Source organism: Homo sapiens, chromosome 12 (assembly GCF_000001405.40).
Source record: "Homo sapiens chromosome 12, GRCh38.p14 Primary Assembly".
NCBI classification, from domain to species: Eukaryota; Metazoa; Chordata; class Mammalia; order Primates; family Hominidae; genus Homo; species Homo sapiens.
In genome coordinates, this window is record NC_000012.12 from 61,801,556 (window position 1) to 61,819,909 (window position 18,354).

The following is an 18,354-nucleotide window of genomic DNA, read 5'->3' on the forward strand; positions in this document are numbered from 1 at the left end:
ATGCAGAAAAATGAAACCAAACCCCTATCTCTCACCACATACAAAAATCTACTCAGTGTGGATTAAAGACTTAAATGTAAGCCATGAAGCTTTAAAACTACTAGAAGAAAGCATCGGGGTAATGCTTAAGGACATTGGTTGAGCCAAAGATTTTATGGGTAAGACTTCAAAACCACAGGCAACATAAGCAAAAATAGACAAATGGAACTATATCAAACTAAAATGGCTCTACACAGCAAAAGAAACAATCAATAGAATGATGAGATAACCTATAGAATGGGAGAAAATATTTGCAAACTATTCATCCAACAAGGGTCTAATATCCAGAATATGCAAGGACCTCAAACAACTCTACAACAACAAAAAACAAATAAACCAACTTAAAAATGGGCAAAGGATCTGAATGGATCTTTCTCAAAAGAAGACATACAAATAGCCAACAAGTATACTTTTAAAAGCTCAATATCATTAATCATCAGAGAAATGCAAGTCAAAACCACAGTGAGATTTCATGTCACCCTGGTTATAATGGGTATTATCAAGAAAACAAAAACTAATTGCTGGTGACAATGTAGAGAAAGGGAACTCTTACACATCACTGGTGGGAATGTAAAAAGTATAGCCACTATTGAAAACAGTATGAAGGTTCCCCAAAAAACTGAAAATAGAGCTACCATATGATCCAGCAATCCCTCTGTTGGGTATTCATCCAAAGGAAAGAAAATCAGTATATCAAAGAGATATATGCACCCCCATGTTTATTGCAGCACTATGCACAAAAGCCAAGATATGGAATCAACATAAATGTCCATCAATGGGTGAATGGATAAAGAAAATATGGTCCATATATGCAATGGAATATTATACAGCCACAAAAAGAAAGAAATTCTGTCATTCACAGGCACATGGATGAGCCTGGAAGACATGTTAAGTGAAATAAGTCAGGCACAGAAGGATAAATACTGCATGTTCTCACTCATATGAGGGAGCAAAAAGTGTTGAGGGCATAGAAGTGGAGAGTAGAACTGTGGTTATCAAGAGACTGGGAAGGGTAGAGGGGAGGTGATGATAAGAAGAGGTTAGGCAACAGATACAAAATTACTACAGCTAGATCAACAACACAGTAGGGTGACTTTAGTTAACAATAAGCTATTGTACATTTTCAAATAGCTAGAAGAGAGGATTTTGAATGTTCCCAACAGAAAGACAGGATAAATGTTTGAGGCAATGAATATAATAATTACTTTTATTTGATCATTACACATTGTATATATGTATTGGAATATCACTCTATATTCCATAAATATGTGCAATTATTATATGGTAACAAAAAGAAAAAATTACTTAGAAAAAAAGGAATCCTCAGAGGAATTCACTGGGTTGGTTATTTTTAGTGTCAGAGAGCTCCATGGGTGCATTGTTCAATACTGCAAGCAATATAATTTAAAACTCCTAGCTGTCTCTTAATAACAGTTTCTAGACAATGGGAAAAAACTGTTCTGTTTTTAAAGAATGAATAGCATAAACAAAATAGGTGTTTAATATTTTGTTCCTGTGGAGCATAGATCTGACCAATACTTTATCCAAGGAATACAAAGGATAAATAAGACAAATTTAGAAAAATAAAAGATATATTAAATGACTGGCAATACTTACTAGTGAGCATGCCTGCTGTTTCTGCTTGAAAGCCAAAGTACTATTAGTTCAAACTCTCTGACTAGGGAAAAGCTGCCTTGGAATTCTAAGTGTACCATGCAATAGAATAGAAAATGTAAAAGAGAAATCATTGATGGCAATGTTATAAAATTAACTCTCTAGTTACACAAAACAATGTCTGGTTTCATTTAGGGTAGATAGATTTTATCCAGATTCTCTAACCAACTTTGTTCTCAGCTTTAAGCACTGATGCTCTATTCCTTCTATATACACTAAACAAGAAGTTTCTATGATTAAGAGCAATATACTACAACAATAATTGTACAGCTTATGGATTAAAAATAGTCTAAATCCCCCTTTAGCATATATATTAACAGACTCCCTTATGCTGACATAATACTTGAACATAAACATCATTTTCTCTAAAATTGTATCCAACATGCTATTAGATAACTATAGTTCATTGATTTATTTAAATTAATATTTTTATTATTTTCTAAAGTCAGAAGCATAATAACTTCTTCTATGGCTAGTTAAATGAATTATTGAGAACTTTGCTATTATACATCACTGAAATAACAAAAATATAGTACATACTTCATAATAAAATGGCACATGTATACATATGTAACTAACCTGCACGTTGTGCACATGTACCCTAAAACTTAAAGTATAATTTTAAAAAAATGACAATAGCTATAATTTATATATCACTCCATATGTGCCAAGTGTTTACTCATCTTACATATGTTAATGCCTTTAACATTCATAGTAAGCCTACATGAAAAGCATTATTAATCCCATTATTATTACTCAGCAGACTGAGGAGAGAAATAGTACTTAATTCAGTGCATTTGTTCAAAGATTCCTAGTCAAAATTCTTATCTTCAACAGACAGTGTAGATTCTTGTGAGACCTGGAGTATCAGTTCACAGTTCTCATTCAAGTCAAGACAATAATATAATGGCTTCCTATACTTTAAAAGAACTTCAAGGCTCATATTTCTCTTTTATAAGTCTTCAAAATTTAACAAGCAATTGACATTAGTGTCCATTTCACTATTACTGTTGTTAACATTATTATGTCTATCTTTAAATATATGTCACTCATTATAAACATATATGTCAAGAACTTGCCATAAATGAAGACATTCTGGTTTATGCTGCTTTCTCAGCAATTCAAATTCAAGGAGACTTGAATTAGCTCAGCAAGCACTCTCTCCTTGATCATCTTCAAGAGAAAGGCAAAATAAGAGTACTTCAACTAGCTCCTACTGACAGACAAGTATGTGCTAATGCACCCAGGAAATGGATTAGGTAAAGTTCAAAGCAGACAATTGAGTTAGGAACTTCATTTTGTATTACAATGATTCTGGGTGACATGCATACAGTTTATCAACACTGTTGAGTCCAGTTAAGTTTCTATGAAACAAGTTTCTACAGCACTCTGTGGAATTATTACCTGGAATAAATTCTAACACCTTTGAAGCACTTTCTGGCTCCCATTATTTTAAGCACTTTATACCCATTATCTCATTTAAACCTGACATTAACCCTTTACAGCTATACCTGCTATTATTACTACTTTTCAAATGAGGAAAGTAAGGCACACAGAAGTTAGGTAATTTACCTAACATACACACCTCATAATCAAGAGAATCATGACCCAAAATAAGAAAATTTCAGAATTCCAATGGTATCTGGAAAGTCACCTATACCATTTCTATAGTATTTATACTTCTACATAAAAATAATCAAACATACTCTAAAACAGCAAAGCAAGCTTTGCTATACTTATTCATAATGAACAACAAGCTTAAAACCATAATTAGTATACAGTATGAATGTTAACAGTATTCCTAGCCCAAAGTTAACAACTCTATTTTATCTGTCTAGAAAAGGGTATATGTCTGGTATTTACAAGTAATAAATATAACATATATTATAATCAAATTTTTTAGGATTATTTAATAATTATGTTTAAAATAAATGACATCTGAAGAAATGCTTTCTAATACATGGCACAATATTTACTCCCTAAATTGTTATTTTTCAAAATATATTAGCAGTTGGCACTTCTACAAACTGGTACCTGATAGCAATTAAGACCTGTGCCACACACCAGTGAGATTCTGTACATTACCTCATTCGTGATCCAATTTTTTTAAATTCAAAAGCCCAAATTTCAATAAATATTAACATCATGCCATACTATATTTACAATATATTTATATTTTTCATTGTAAACAAAAATGCACTTAAAGTACATTTTGAATTTTTGCCAAGTAAATGTTTTCAAAAGATTCATTGTCCATTGCCCAAATGTTAAACTCTGGTAACACTAATTAATATAGTGGCAGATATGATCATAGTAACACCATGGCTGTGTTAAGTAATTCCTTTGTGCAGGGTATGTTCCTCAAGATGCCCCAAACAATCCTCTTTTGAATTTCCAGAATGAATATATACCTGCAGAAACAGGACCTATATTTAGTAGATTAATGTGGAAATGGCAACTTATTTAATTGTAACTTCTAAGAATATAGAGATATCAATAACTGGAACTCACTAATACATCTTAATATGATGATATTCTATTCCTAGAGCCCTGAGCTGAGATGATAAGATTTCACCCTAAATTTCTGATGGTTTCATCTTGATGAAATTAACAAATTAAACTAATAAATCAAATTGTTTATTATGTGACTCAGAAACACATAACACTAACTACAAACATATCTCACCTTAGTCCCTACAATCAAAACACAGAGAGAAAATAATGGAAGGTAACAACAAACTATTAAGATTTGTTACTTGAGTGTGAGGGATGGAGAGGGTAAAGAACATAACTAGTCTTCCCCACATTGTGTTGTGTCTTTGCAGAGGACATGTATGATTTTTACTTTTGTATTTTATATGCTTATATAAATGTATACCAGTTAGAAAAATTGCATATGATATTGTTTGGCTATGTCCCCACTGAAATCTCATCTTGAATTCCCAGGTGTTGTGGGAGGCACCCAGTGAAAGGTAACTGAATCATGGGGTCAGGTCTTTCCCATACTCTTCTTGTGATAACTAATGAGTCTCACGAGATCTGATGTATTTTAAGGGGGAGTTTCCCTGCACAAGCTCTCTTCTCTTGTCTGCCTCCATGTAATATGTGCCTTTCACCTTCTTGCATGATTGAGAGGGCTCTCCAACCACACGGAACTGTAAGTCCAAGTCTTTCTTTATAAATTTCCCAGTCTTGGGTATGTCTTTATCAGCAGTGTGAAAACAGACTAATACCATAAATTGATACCGGTAGAGTGGGGCACTGCTGAACAGATACCCAAAAATGTGGAAGTGACTTTGGAACTGGGTAACAGCACGGGGTAGAATTGTTTGGAGGGGTCAGAAGAAGACAGAAAAATGTGGGAAAGTTTGGAACTTCCTAGAGACTTGTTGAATGGCTTTGTCCAAAATGCTGATAGCAATATAGACAATAAAGTCCAGGCTGAGGTGGTCTCAGATGGAGATGAGGAACTTGTTGGGAACTGGAGCAAAGGTGATGCTTGTTATGTTTTAGCAAAGGGACTGGTGGCATTTTGCCCCTGCCCTAGAGATTTGTGGAACTTTGAACTTGAGAGAGATGATTTAGGGTAACTGGTGGAAGAAAATGCTAAGCAGCAAAGCCTTCAAGAGGTGACTTGGGTGCTGTTAAAGGCATTCAGTTTTATAAGGGAAGCAGAGCATAAAAGTTTGCAAAATTTGTAGCCTGATAATGCGATAGAAAAGAAAATCCCATTCTCTGAGGAGAAATTCAAGCCAGCTGCAGAAATTTCCATAAGTAACAAGGAGCCAAATGTTAATCCCCAAAACAATGGCGAAAATATCTCCAGGGCATGTCAGACGTCTTCATAGCAGGACCTCCCATTACAGGCCAGGAGGTCTAGGAGGAAAAAGTGGTTTTGTGGGCTGGGCCCAGGTTCCTCATGCTGTGTGCAGCCTAGGGACTTGGTGTACTGTGTCCCAGCTGCTCCAGCCGTGGCTGAAATGCGCCAATGTAAAGCTCAGGCCATGGTTTCAGAGGGTGCAAGCCTCAAGCCTTGGCAACTTCCATGTGGTGTTGAGCCTGAGAATGCACAGACGTCAAGAATTGAAGTTTGGGAACCTCTGCCTAGATTTCAGAAGATGTACGGAAGTGCCTGGATGTCCAGGCAGAGGTTTACTGCTGGGCTGGGGCTCTTATGGAGAACCTCTGCTAGGGCAGTGTGGGAGGGAAACATGAGGTCAGAACCCCCACACAGAGTCCCTACTGGGGCACCACCTAATGGAGCTGTGAGATGAGGGCCACCATCCTCCATACCCTAGAATGGTAGATCCACTGATAACTTGCACTGTGCACCTGGAAAAGTCACAGACACTCAACACTAGCCCATGAAAGCAGCCAGGAAGGAGGCTGTACCTTGCAAAGCCACAGGAGTGGAGCTTCCCAAGACCATGGGAACCCACCTCTTGCATCGGCGTGACCTGGATATGAGACATGGAGTCAAAGGAGATCATTTTGGAGCTTTAAGATTTGACCGCCCCACTGGATTTCGGACTTGCATGGGGCCTGTAGCCCCTTTGTTTTGGCCAATTTCTCACATTTGGAATGGCTATATTTACCCAATGCCTGTAACCCCATTGTATCTAGGAAGTAACTAACTTGCTTTTGATTTTACAGGCTCATAGGCAGAAGGGACTTGCCTTGTCTCAGATGAGAACTTGGACTATGGATATCTGAGTTAATGCTGAAATTAGTTAAGACTTTGGAGGACTATTGGGAAGGCAAGATTGGTTTTCAAATGAAAAAGGATGTGAGACTTGGAAGGGGCCAGGGGCAGAATGATATGGTTTGTCTGTGTTCCCACTGAAATCTCATCTTGAATTCCCACGTTGTGGGAGGGACCCAGTGAAAGGTAATTGAATCATGGAGGCAGGTCTTTCCCATGCTGTTCTTGTGACAGTGAATGAGTCTCATGAGATCTGATGATATTATAAGGGTGAGTTTCCCTGCACAAGCTCTCTTCTCTTGTCTGCCACCATGTGAGACATGCCTTTCACCTTCTGCCATGATTATGAGGCCTCCGCACCAAATGGTCAATAAACCTCTTTTCTGTAAGTCCAATAAACCTTTTTTCTTTGTAAATTTCCCAGTCTCGGGTATGTCTTTATCAGCAGCATGAAAATGGACTAATACAGTACATAATTGTACATGTGTGTATGTGGTACATCCCCCACCTCATAGAAAATACCTGTAGTAACTCCATGGGAAAACTAACCTTAAAATATGATTAGGATTTAGATAAGCTGATGAGCAAAACAAGGTGTGAGGAAAATGGAGGTAGAAATGAGAAAAAAGTCATGTAGTTTAGCAGGAAGTTACGGTTGGGTCCATGTTTTTAAAAGCCTTTAAGTTTAGACAGAAAAGCTTAGCTTTTCAGGATGAAAGTAACATTGAAGGACTTGGTCTGAAAGTAGTAATGCAAGATGGGTTACAGAAGGGAAAGACTGGAATTAACGAGATCAATGTTGTCACAGTAGCCTTATATCTTTGCACAGTGCCTGCAGCGCATACGGAATCAGCAAATGTTTATTAAATGCAGGCACAAATGAATTAACAACTATATCAAATCTGTTACTAATTGTGTTATCTAAATTGTATTATTAAATGTATTATCTATTACATCTATTACATAAAGGTGACTGCTGTAATAACACCTAAGCGAATGTGACTCATCTATTGTCCATAACCACCATTTCTAAGTCTAGAAATAGACTTTTTTTTCTAAGTCTAGAAATAGATGAGTCACAGATGACACCCAAGTTTGAAGTATGTGAAAGCACATAGCTTGAAAGTGTGTGTGCGTGCATGTGCACGTGTGTGCATAAAACAATGCCTATAAATGAGCAGAAAGCATAGGGTTCAACGTGCAATCTCTAAAGTCAGGCTTCCTGGATCATATCACAGCCTTAATACTCACTGATTAGCTAACCTCAGGCAAAATTATTGAGCCATTATGAACCTCAGTTTTCTCATATTTAAAATAGTTATAAAGCATCTTCCTTATATTTAGGATGACATTAAAACAGTACTTATTGTGTAAGTTTAATTGGGAAAATAAATAAACTGTTTTAAAAATAGTGAGTATCAATAAATGTTAGTTATTATTCTTGAGTTTTGAACTTTACTTTTTCACTAAGTTACCTTCCTGCTGAGATTGTTCTTTCCACCAGATGTGGTTCAGAAGTAGTTGACCAAGTCTTAGGGCATTTGTCATAATAAAAATATGTCATACATAGCTCTTTACTGAAAGAACAGAACAGGCACTGATTATTAACTAATCCATGATTCCAAAAGAATCATGATTTAGAGCATTTTTAATTTAAAAAAAAGCATTACCCCTACATTTTGACTAATGATACTACTGGGTTTTCTTCCAGACTTTATGTCTTAGTTTTTTTACTATAAGGGAAAACCAATTTTTACTTATGGTTGAGGGTAGAAAAGCTTATTCTAAAGTTTCCTTGTGAACCTACTTCACCCTGTTGTCTTCAATATGAAGAATCAAGTCCTTCTCAGCTTTAACAGCCACCCCTAACATCGAAAGGGAAATCTCAATACCTCCATGCACAGTGATGTGTTTGAGACCATCAATGTGCCAACATTTCCAGGTGGTGATTTCTAATTTCTAATTAGGCAACTTCCTAACCCCACAATGTTTTCTGAAGACATAGCTGACCACCCCTCCACATCTGCCAGGGAATCATAGGAGTTGTTAAAGTCCTTTTGGGAACCACATTTCCTTCTCTCATGATCTTTGCCATCTGAATGAAGTCTTCCCTTGTGTAAAAATAAATACAAGTTTCCTGTTACTATTCCTGTATAATTTACAGTTTTCCCAAATACTGATAAATGCATACCATAACATTTTTCTTCAAAATAAACCATGCCCAACATTTTAAGAAATTCTGCCTCTATGGTTTTTGATATATCAAACTTAAACCCAGCTTCCTAAAATGAGTTATACTCTTTCTCTAATGGGGGAAAATTGTTTTTAAGAAGGCTTAGCCATTACTTTGTTTTTTTTTTTTAAGGAATATCTGTAACTTTAGATCATGACTCTTGTGTTTTTAAGTATAGATATTTCCACTTATTAAGTACACTTAAAGAGATTAAATGTAGCCTTAAATAAAGAAGACAATATGAGGAAAAGCAGTGCTGGCAATTGAGGGCAGATCAGACTTATTGTTTTACACAATGATTTCTATTACTTAAAGGTGACTGCTGTAATAACATCCAAGTATTAATAAAGTTTAAATAATGTGGCAGAAATAGCTATCTATCTCGCAAAGATTTATAGTCTTTTCCATGTTTGAGAGTTGTTGCTAGAAAGCAGCTGCCCAGATAGAGACTACATTTCCCAGCTTCCCTTGTGTCTTGGTGGGGTCATGTGATTAATTTCAGGCCAGTAGAATAAAGGTAAAAGTGAAGTGTTGCACTTCCAGGCTTGGGTCATAAGAATCTGCTGTACAATCCTCAGTGATCTCTTTCTTCCTCCCATTTTGGCAGTTGGAAGTACTTGCCCAAGGTGACCTTATAAATCATGTGTGGAAGAAAAAAGAGTTCAGTCAATTTGTGTTTTTGAAGATCAGGTAGAACTGAGACCAACCTACCACCATTCCTGCCACTGCCAAGTGGGTGGGAATAAACTGTTTACATTGGGTTAATCTATCGAGAATTGATGATTTTTTTTTTCTTTACAGAAGCTAGAGTAATCTTAATTAATACATGTAGACAAATCACTACACAGTAAAGAAAAACTATATTAATGTTATATAACTTATATCTAAATAAAAATAAGCGTTCCTTAAAAAGGGAAGTTTTTAAACGGCAATGTCCACAGAGTAACACACAAATATTAGTTATTAGTAGTAATAATGCATATGAGCATTATTTTTATAATTTGGCTAACATTTATTGAGTGCTTACAATGTTCAATTCTTCATGTATTATCACATTTAATTCAGAAAAGCCCTACAGTTGAAGAATATAAAGCACAGAGATATTAAGTTGCCCAAGATTATATAGTATTAGTTGGCAGAGAAGGGATTTAAAATACTCCATATATTGGAAGATTATTGTGTGATTAGTGAATTAAAGAAACTATTAAGAAACCAGCAAGAGAACGGCAAACTTGTAAGTTCACGGTTCATTAAATTAGGAAGTTTTTATTTGCAAGGCATGATGACATTCAAAGACTGTGGGAAATAGAAATACGTAAAGGACATGAACTATGACACAAGCATATTAAAATCTAGTTGGGAACATGAGCCATATACAAAAATAACCACTATATATCTGTATATAGTAAGTATCCTATAATATTGCAGAGTATTGTGAGACTTTAGGTGAAAAGGGTCACTTTTAGCAGGGAGTCAGAGCATACTCTTCGTAGAAAATTACAATTAATATTGGCCCTGCCTGAATGGGTAGAATTCAATAGGCAGAAGCAATTAAAAGCCCTTTCAAGTGGACACATAAATATCTATAATCAAGAACAGGAAACGGATTAACAAAGAGGTAGAAAGACAATTTGGGATCAGTTGATTGTGGATCTTGAATATCAAGCTAAGGTTTTGACTTTATGAAGCAGATAACAGAAGTCATTAGCAGAGTTATACACTAGGTAGATAAATCTAATGATCAAGTATAGATTGAACTAGTTTATAATGAGACTGAAAAGCCCTATCCTCTTTCCCCTATGTGGTATATTGTAAGAGATGTATTGTGGCTATGTGATTAATGATAGTGAGAAGGCCTACTCAAAAATCTCATGGGGCCAAAACTATGTGACACTTAGCAGCATGATGCAACCTGGCCTGGGAGTTTCCAGGAGACAAGACCACCTCAGCACAGATGCAATTCCTAGAAACCTTAAAACAAAGCTTACTCTTACAAGAATAACTTAAACTCCCTCTGAAGGAAACTCCTAGTAACTGACCTGGACTGAAGACATAATAAGAAAGGGGGAAAGATCCCTTAAACTCTGGGAATGGTGTCTCCAAGTCAAGACCCTCCCAGTCAGATGGCCATCTGATGTCCTGATTGTATCTGGCCCATGCCATTGCTCTGCTCCCAACATCTGCCTTGTAAAAGTACTGCCAGAATAAACTGCTTCAGGGTCAGATGGTGTCTGAGATTCATCATTGACGTGAATAGGACTAAACAGGAGAACTCACTCCTGAGGAAGCTAGTGACCTAGGACAACCTAAGACCCCCAAACATGACATCCCCCGAACATGAACAATAAAATTATATATGTTCCCATCTTTTTTTTTTTTTTTTGGACACAGAGTCTCACTCTGTAACCCAGGCTGGAGCGCAGTGGCACAATCTTAGCTCACTACAACCTCTGACTCCAGGATTCAAGTGATTCTCCTACCTCAGCCTCATGAGTAGCTGGGATTACAGGCGCCCCCTGCCACGCCCGGATAACTTTTGTATTTTTAGTAGGGACAGGGTTTTACCATGTTGGTCAGGCTGGTCTTGAACTGCTGACCTCAGGTGATCCACCCACCTCAGCCTCTCAAAATGCTGGGATTACAGGCATGAGCCACCACGCCCAGCCAACTTTTCTTTTCAATAAATGTTTACTGAAGACAGTTCAGAAAATACAGGTAAATATAAAATAAAAAATATCCTCTTGTTTGCTATTATCTCCTTCCCTAATTTTCCCTTGAAAATATAAACAAAAAATGCTTTGCAAAAATAGTTTCAAACAATACTTAAAGTTGTGTAACCCACTGTTTAAACTCTATCATCATCATGATTGTGTAGCATTCCATCAATTGGCTAGATCATAATATATCTAAAAATGCCCGATTACTAGAAAATTAGATTGTATTTATGTTTACTATCATTATATGACAAATAGCCCATTTTTAAACTTTGACAATTTTATGTTCAAAAATAATCTCATTGCTTTAATTTGCACTCCTTGGATTATCAGTAGTAAGTTGAGCTTTTTCCATACTTTTCATAGTATGTCTTCCTAGTGAATTGCCTACTCATGTATCTGCTGCTTATAAAATTATGTATCTTTTTCTTACTTATTTTTTGAAGACTTAATCTATATAGTAAGAATATTAACTTTTTTCTGTCATATATACTGCAAAACATCTTAGCCATTTGCCTCTAAATTAATTTTTGGCATTTCTGTCATACAAGATCTCTCAATATTCAGATAAGCAAATCTACCAATTCTCTCTTTTAGGATTTTTTCCTTTCTAAAAGATTTTCCCAATAACAAAAGTATGGTGAATATTAGCCTGCAATTTGTACAAGTATTTTAATTATTGATTTGTATTTTTAACATTCCTCCTCCAAGCTAAAACTATATATTCTTCATGTTTATTTCCATCAACACCAATTTTACTGGCTGAAACTACTAGTGTAATATAGAAATTAAGAATATGGACTCTACAGTCATACTTCCTGAGTTAAATTCTGGTTTTACTTACTAGCTGTGACTCTGAGAAAATTATTTTACTTTTTGGTGTCTCAGTCTTTTCATCTACAAAATGCAGGTAAGAAATGTACCTATCTCATACTGTTGTGAAGCTTAGACAAATTAAATCACATAAAGTATATAATACACTCTCAATAGGAGTTACTTTTATTATTATTGAGACATTCATTTGCAATACACCAACAAATCCAGGCCTTGTGCTAAATATCGGAGCACATCAATATAGTAACAGTTGAGCAATCTGTCCTACAGAAGTTTACATTCGAGAAAAGGCACACACTGTATGCAAACAATAAGCAGAATCATTGCAGTTGTGACTATTTCAATAAGGGAAATAAATGCAGTAATAATATCTCTTTTGCAGTAGAGAGCCAAAGAGCTTCACCAAGAGAAATGGGGAAAGAGGCAGCCAGCTGAGAAATTTGAAGAAGAGCATTTGTGCCAGAGGGAGTAAAAAGTGCTAGGCCTCATGGTGAGGGAAGGTATTGGTATATTTAATCAACATAAAGAAAACTAACTAGAGAGCTATAGTGAGCAAGCTAGGGAATGGGGCAAGACGAAGTTGTGGAGGTAACAGGAGCCCCATGATTCAGGGCCTTGTGAACCAACTTAAGGAGTTGAGATTTATTCTAAGTTAAATGGGCAGACATTGAAGGATCTTAACCAGGGAACGGTGTGGTTAAACTCTCTCTGAATCTGGTCAAGATCTGATTCAGGTTTTTAAAAGGCTGTATGGGCTGCTTGAGGAAGAACAGTTTAGAAAAGGGCAAGAGTAGGAGCAAGAAACACATTTAGAAGGTGGGGTACACAGAATAGTACCCCTTGCCTATAAAGATTTCCTCACTGTGATTCCAAGGACCTGTGAGTATGTTACCTCACATGCCAAAAGGGACTTTGCAGATATTTTTCAGCAAAGGATCTTGAGATGGAAGATTATTCTGGATTATCTCAGTGGGTCCAATGTAATCACAAGGACTCTTATAAGAGCAAAATAGGAGGGTCAGAGTCCGAAAAGGCAATATGACAGTGGAAGCAGAGAAAGAGATTGAAAGATGCTATGCTGCTGGCTTTGAAGATGAAGGGTGAAGCCACAAGCCAAGTAATGTCAGTGGCTTCTAAAAGCTAAAAAGGACAAATAGATTTTTCCCTAGAGCCTCCAGAAGGAACAAAGCCCTGCTAACATCTTGATTGCAGCCCAATTCATTTTGAATCTCTGACCTTCAGAAATGTAAGATAATTAACTTGTGTTGTTCTAAGTCACCTAGTGTGTGGTAATTTGTTACAGCAGCAATAGAAAATACAGAAGAGTTTTGCATTAAGTAATTCAGGTGAAATATGTTACTATTTCATGGAGTAGAGTAGTCATGGCAGAAATAGTAGAGAGGAGGACATATATCTACTATATATTTTCTAGGAAGATAGGCATTGGATTGGATCTATAAATTTTAACTTGAACAGGTAGGTAGATAATGAAAACATTTATTAAACTGGGTAGATTGTAGAGTAAACCAGTTTGGCATGGGAGGAAAAAAGAAAATCAAGAATTATGTTTTGAAAGTGTTAAGTTTCAGATGCCTATTAGACATTCAAAAGGAAATAAAAAGTAGGCAATTGAGGCTGGGCGTGGTGGCTCACGCCTGTAATCCCAGCACTTTGGGAGGCCGAGCTGGGCGGATCACGAGGTCAGGTGATCGAGACCATCCTGTGAATGGTGAAACCCCGTCTCTACTAAAAATACAAAAAATTAGCTGGGCATGGTGGTGGGCACCTGTAGTCTCAGCTACTCGGGAGGCTGAGGCGGGAGAATGGCGTGAACCCAGGAGGTGGAGCTTGCAGTGAGCCGAGATCGTGCCACTGCACTCCAGCCTGGGAGACAGAGCAAGACTCCGTCTAAAAAAAAAAAAAAAGTAGGCAATTGAATCTATTTATTGGGGGCTCAATATAAAGGTAAGAGTTGGAGACATGAATTTGAGAGACAGAATTTGAGAATCGCAGTATTTAGATGGCATTTACAGCTAGAGGCTAGATAAAATTTTTTCTCTATGCACTAAATGTTTATTGTGCATCTGCTTTTCTAAAAGCTGGGCATACAACAGTGAACAAGACAAAATTGTCGCTGTTCTCATGGAGCTTCTATTCTAGTGGAAGGAGATAGATAATAAACCAAGGGGATAAATTATAATATAGGAAGGGAGAAGCACTATAGGGAAAATAAAAAAAAGATGGTGTGGGTCTCAGAGCTATTTTATTAATTTTATTTTTAAACTTTTAGGCTTGAGGGTGCATGTGAACATCTGATACATAGGTAAACTCATGTCATGGGGGTTTGTTGTACAGATTATTTCATACTCAGGTATTAAACCTAGTTCCCAATAGTTGTCTTTTCCTGCTCCTCTCCCTCCTCTCACCCTCCACCATCAAGTAGACCCCAGTGTCTGTTGCTCCCTTCTTTGTATTCATGAGTTCTCATCATTAGCTCCCACTTGTAAGTGGAAACATGCAATATTTGGTTTTCTGTTCCTGTGCTAGTTTGCTAAGGATAATAGACTCCAGCTCCATCCATGTTCCTGCAAAAGACATGATCTTTTTCTTTTTATGGCTGCATAGTATTCCATGGTGTATATGTACCACATTTTCTTTATCCAGCTGTCATTGATGGGCATTTAGGTTGATTCCATGTCTTTGCTGTTTTGAATAGTGCTGCAATGAACATTTGCATGCATGTGTCTTTATTGTAGAATAATTTATATTCCCCTGAGTATATACCCAGTAATGGAATTGCTGGGTCAAATGGTAGTTCTGCTTTCAGCTCTTTGAGGCATCACCATACTGCTTTCAACAATGGTTGAACTAATTTACACTCCCACCAACAGTATTTAAGCGTTCCTAGGGCTATTTTAAGTAGAGCATTGGGATAAGTTATTTTTCAGAAATTGACAAGATGTATTAGAGTTTAGGGTAAAGAAGCATCCTTAGACTGGGAGTCAGAGAAGTCTTTATTGAGGAGGTATTTAAGCTGAGACTTGAATGACAAGGAGGCAGCCATACTTATTGCTGGATTTATTGTCCTTCTCACATCTGACTGAACACTTGGAGGACAAAGATATTGTCTAACTTTTTTTGTATGCATAGGGTCTGGCACTAAGACAGCCAGATTATTATATATATTGTAATAGTATGCCTTTGAGAAATTGTAAGTAAATAATAAGTATTTACTGTCTACCAGGTTGGAAGCCCAAAAGAAATAAAAGAATTTTGTTGCTACTTCCATAGCTCGCAGTCTATTTGAAGAGACTACACATAAGCACAGTAATTGAGATGGCAATATATGAAGCAGCATGACATGTACTGCTATCTTATATGCTACATGAGGACATCCTGATATAGTGACTGGAAAGTGGGCTTATATTAAGAAGACAAGATTGTTAAACCTACCCTTGTGTGTAATCAGATGGGGAATCTTCACAAGTAACTTAACTTCTATGTATTTATTTCCTAATCTGTAAATAAAAATAAACATATTTTCCTAACCTACCTTCATGTGACAAGGCCTAGTCTGTCACAAAGCAAAAAGAATAATAATCATAGTTATTATTATTATAGTGAAACTAATACATATTAAAATAATACATCCTAATTATTATTAGGATAATATTTAAGTGTCAAAATATGCCATAGAGATATAGACTATATGATAAGGAACTTATATGGCTTTGACTTACTGGAAATCTTACACATACATGATCAATTCCTAGACAAGAATTTTTTCTCCCAAGAGAGAGCTTTTTATTTTTTCAACTCCAAAGGTTATCTTAAAGTTAGTGTTTTAAAGAGGTTCTTTTTGTGTTAAGTGGCAGCTAGGTACGCCCTGGGTCTTAAAGACAGATGCCATATCTCTTCCCAATTCTGATGCAGATTAGTGCTGCACAGAGCAGCCATAAAAAGGCCACAATGAGTGAATTTTAGCAAAAAGCAATAACAGTGATATGTAAAAATGGCCAAAATAAACATAAATCAGCTACCTCAAAATGACATATTGACACAATTCAGTGGTCTCCTCAACCAACCTCTACCTACCTTCAGGCATTTTTTTTCCCCAAGTGCTCCAAACCTCATTCTCAGAAACTTTAAATCACAGGGATGGCTCTAGGGAGCCTCTGCTATTCAGTTACCTTCACTCCTTGCTTCCATCATCCTTCAGCAACACCCAAGGCTGCCAACTAGCCAAAGCAGACTCTCCCCAGTGTCCAACATCAGCTGTATCATTCCTCCTCATAATTCAGAGCAGGATGCCTGCCATCCTCACCGGGAGAACAGAATCCACATCTCCCTCTATTGGGACTTTCAGCTGATCGACTTGGATCATTTTTCTAAAGCCTCGACTTTCTCTTTACCCTCCTTACTCTTCATTAAATCTTCAACTCATTCTGTCTGTTCTATATTGTCACGTCTGTCTTTTTCTTTATCAAATAGAATCTGTCAAACCCCATTCTATAAAAATTGTTCACTTCAGTGCTTATTTTTTTTAACCTACACTGAATAGGTAAATGTGCCACAATAATTATTTGCTTGGGATAAGTAACATAACTTCTCAGGTCCTCAATCTTCTCATCAGTAAAATTGGGATGAAATGGACTACAATTAGTGGATTTTAAACTTTTGTTAAATACTGAGATTCCCTACAGCCTAGGTGACAGATCGAGACCCTGTCTCAAAAAAATACACACACACACACACACACACACACACACACACACTAGGATCCTTCAAGTGCTATTGTATACCCATGTATAGAGCAAAGCCCTCCAATGGAGCACCACTCTGAGGCAGGTGGTAATGGAACTCTGGAGCTCTCCCACGTGATGCAGCATCACTCTTCCTTACTGGGGTCCCTGAGATAGTTCCAACTCACAAAACCCAAAGGAACACATGATAGTCTTAATAAGCTGCATTCTAACTTTAATATCCAAAGACTCTATTCAAAATGCTTGTATAGTGAGAGACTGAGTAGCAAGGAAGCTATAATTTTGTTGTATGTCAACTTTTATTTTATTGAAATGCCCATAAGCAGTTTAATTCATTTAATTCCCTACAATAATGCTATTATGCTTATGGCTACCAATGAAAAGACTGAGACTCAGAGAGTAAAACTTAAATTTCCATATTTTATAAAAGGCTGTAAGGCGATTCAAACACTTGCTTCTTCCATTGTTGCACATTACCTCTAGACCCGATCATGACTTCCTAACCTAGTCCCCATCCAGCCATTATTACTGATTAATTAGATTCCCTTCCATATTTTATTGTGAATATGTTTAGTATATATCACCTACTGTTGATGTTTATATTTACTTGTCTAGTAAAAATAGAACAATAGGATGGAGTAGGTTTGTGTAGAGCACTAAGAAATAATAATTTGACTTAAAGAGAGAAACAGAGAAGGTAGCATTGATAAATTGATAGTTAAATGTTTTCAAAATCTGATACTTACTTCTAAATGTACTATAAAAATCGTGACTACCCAGAAACAGCATTACTTCAAAGAATGTATTTTTAATTCCTATAATCATATCCAAAGCAGTTCATAGCATGCACTGAATTTCTCACTTTTAAAAAGTCTTTCCAATGATAAAATGTGAAGATAAGCAAATGTAATATCTTATAATCAGCTGAATTCCATATCCTTAGAATACCTCTTATGCAAATCTAAATATCTCTGGATAATTACAGAAATAGTATTAATTGTGGAAAACAGGCTAGGATGTGAAGTCAAAAACTTGTTAGATACTGCATTATCATTCCCTATTTATCAGCTTATATTTTTCCTCAGATTCTATATTATCTTTGCTCGTTTTTCCTCTGGCAGGTGTTCAAGGGTGAATTATGCAATTAAGAATCCAAAATTCCACTGCATCCAGATGCCTAATTTGCTAACTATTCATTTGCCAAAAATGCATGTTTACTATCTATTACATAATGACTACAGAAACAACTTCTGGTTTCCATTTCATGAATTGATACTGAGAATATGACAAATGTCCTGGAAGGCATTTTTCAGTGCCCATTCCCATGCAATTTTATTAATTTCATAAATTTACCAACATCTGGGGAGAAAAACTCTCCCCTCAACAGTTTTAAGT

General features: G+C 36.4%; 1 protein-coding gene across 6 annotated transcripts in view, besides 1 other annotated feature; it reads right to left on the bottom strand.

Moving 5' to 3' along the window:
* Positions 1–18,354, bottom strand: part of TAFA2 (TAFA chemokine like family member 2) — a 551,762-nt gene that overhangs the window by 93,283 nt on the left and 440,125 nt on the right. The gene's annotated exons all lie outside the window — the stretch shown is intronic.
* Positions 2,643–3,289: an enhancer, noted in NCBI's record as "OCT4-NANOG hESC enhancer chr12:62197979-62198625 (GRCh37/hg19 assembly coordinates)". NCBI's record gives its function as "activates a minimal SCP1, AML or CMV promoter by ChIP-STARR-seq in primed H9 embryonic stem cells {active_cell/tissue: H9 hESC(primed)}" and the evidence as "EXISTENCE:reporter gene assay evidence [ECO:0000049][PMID:30033119]".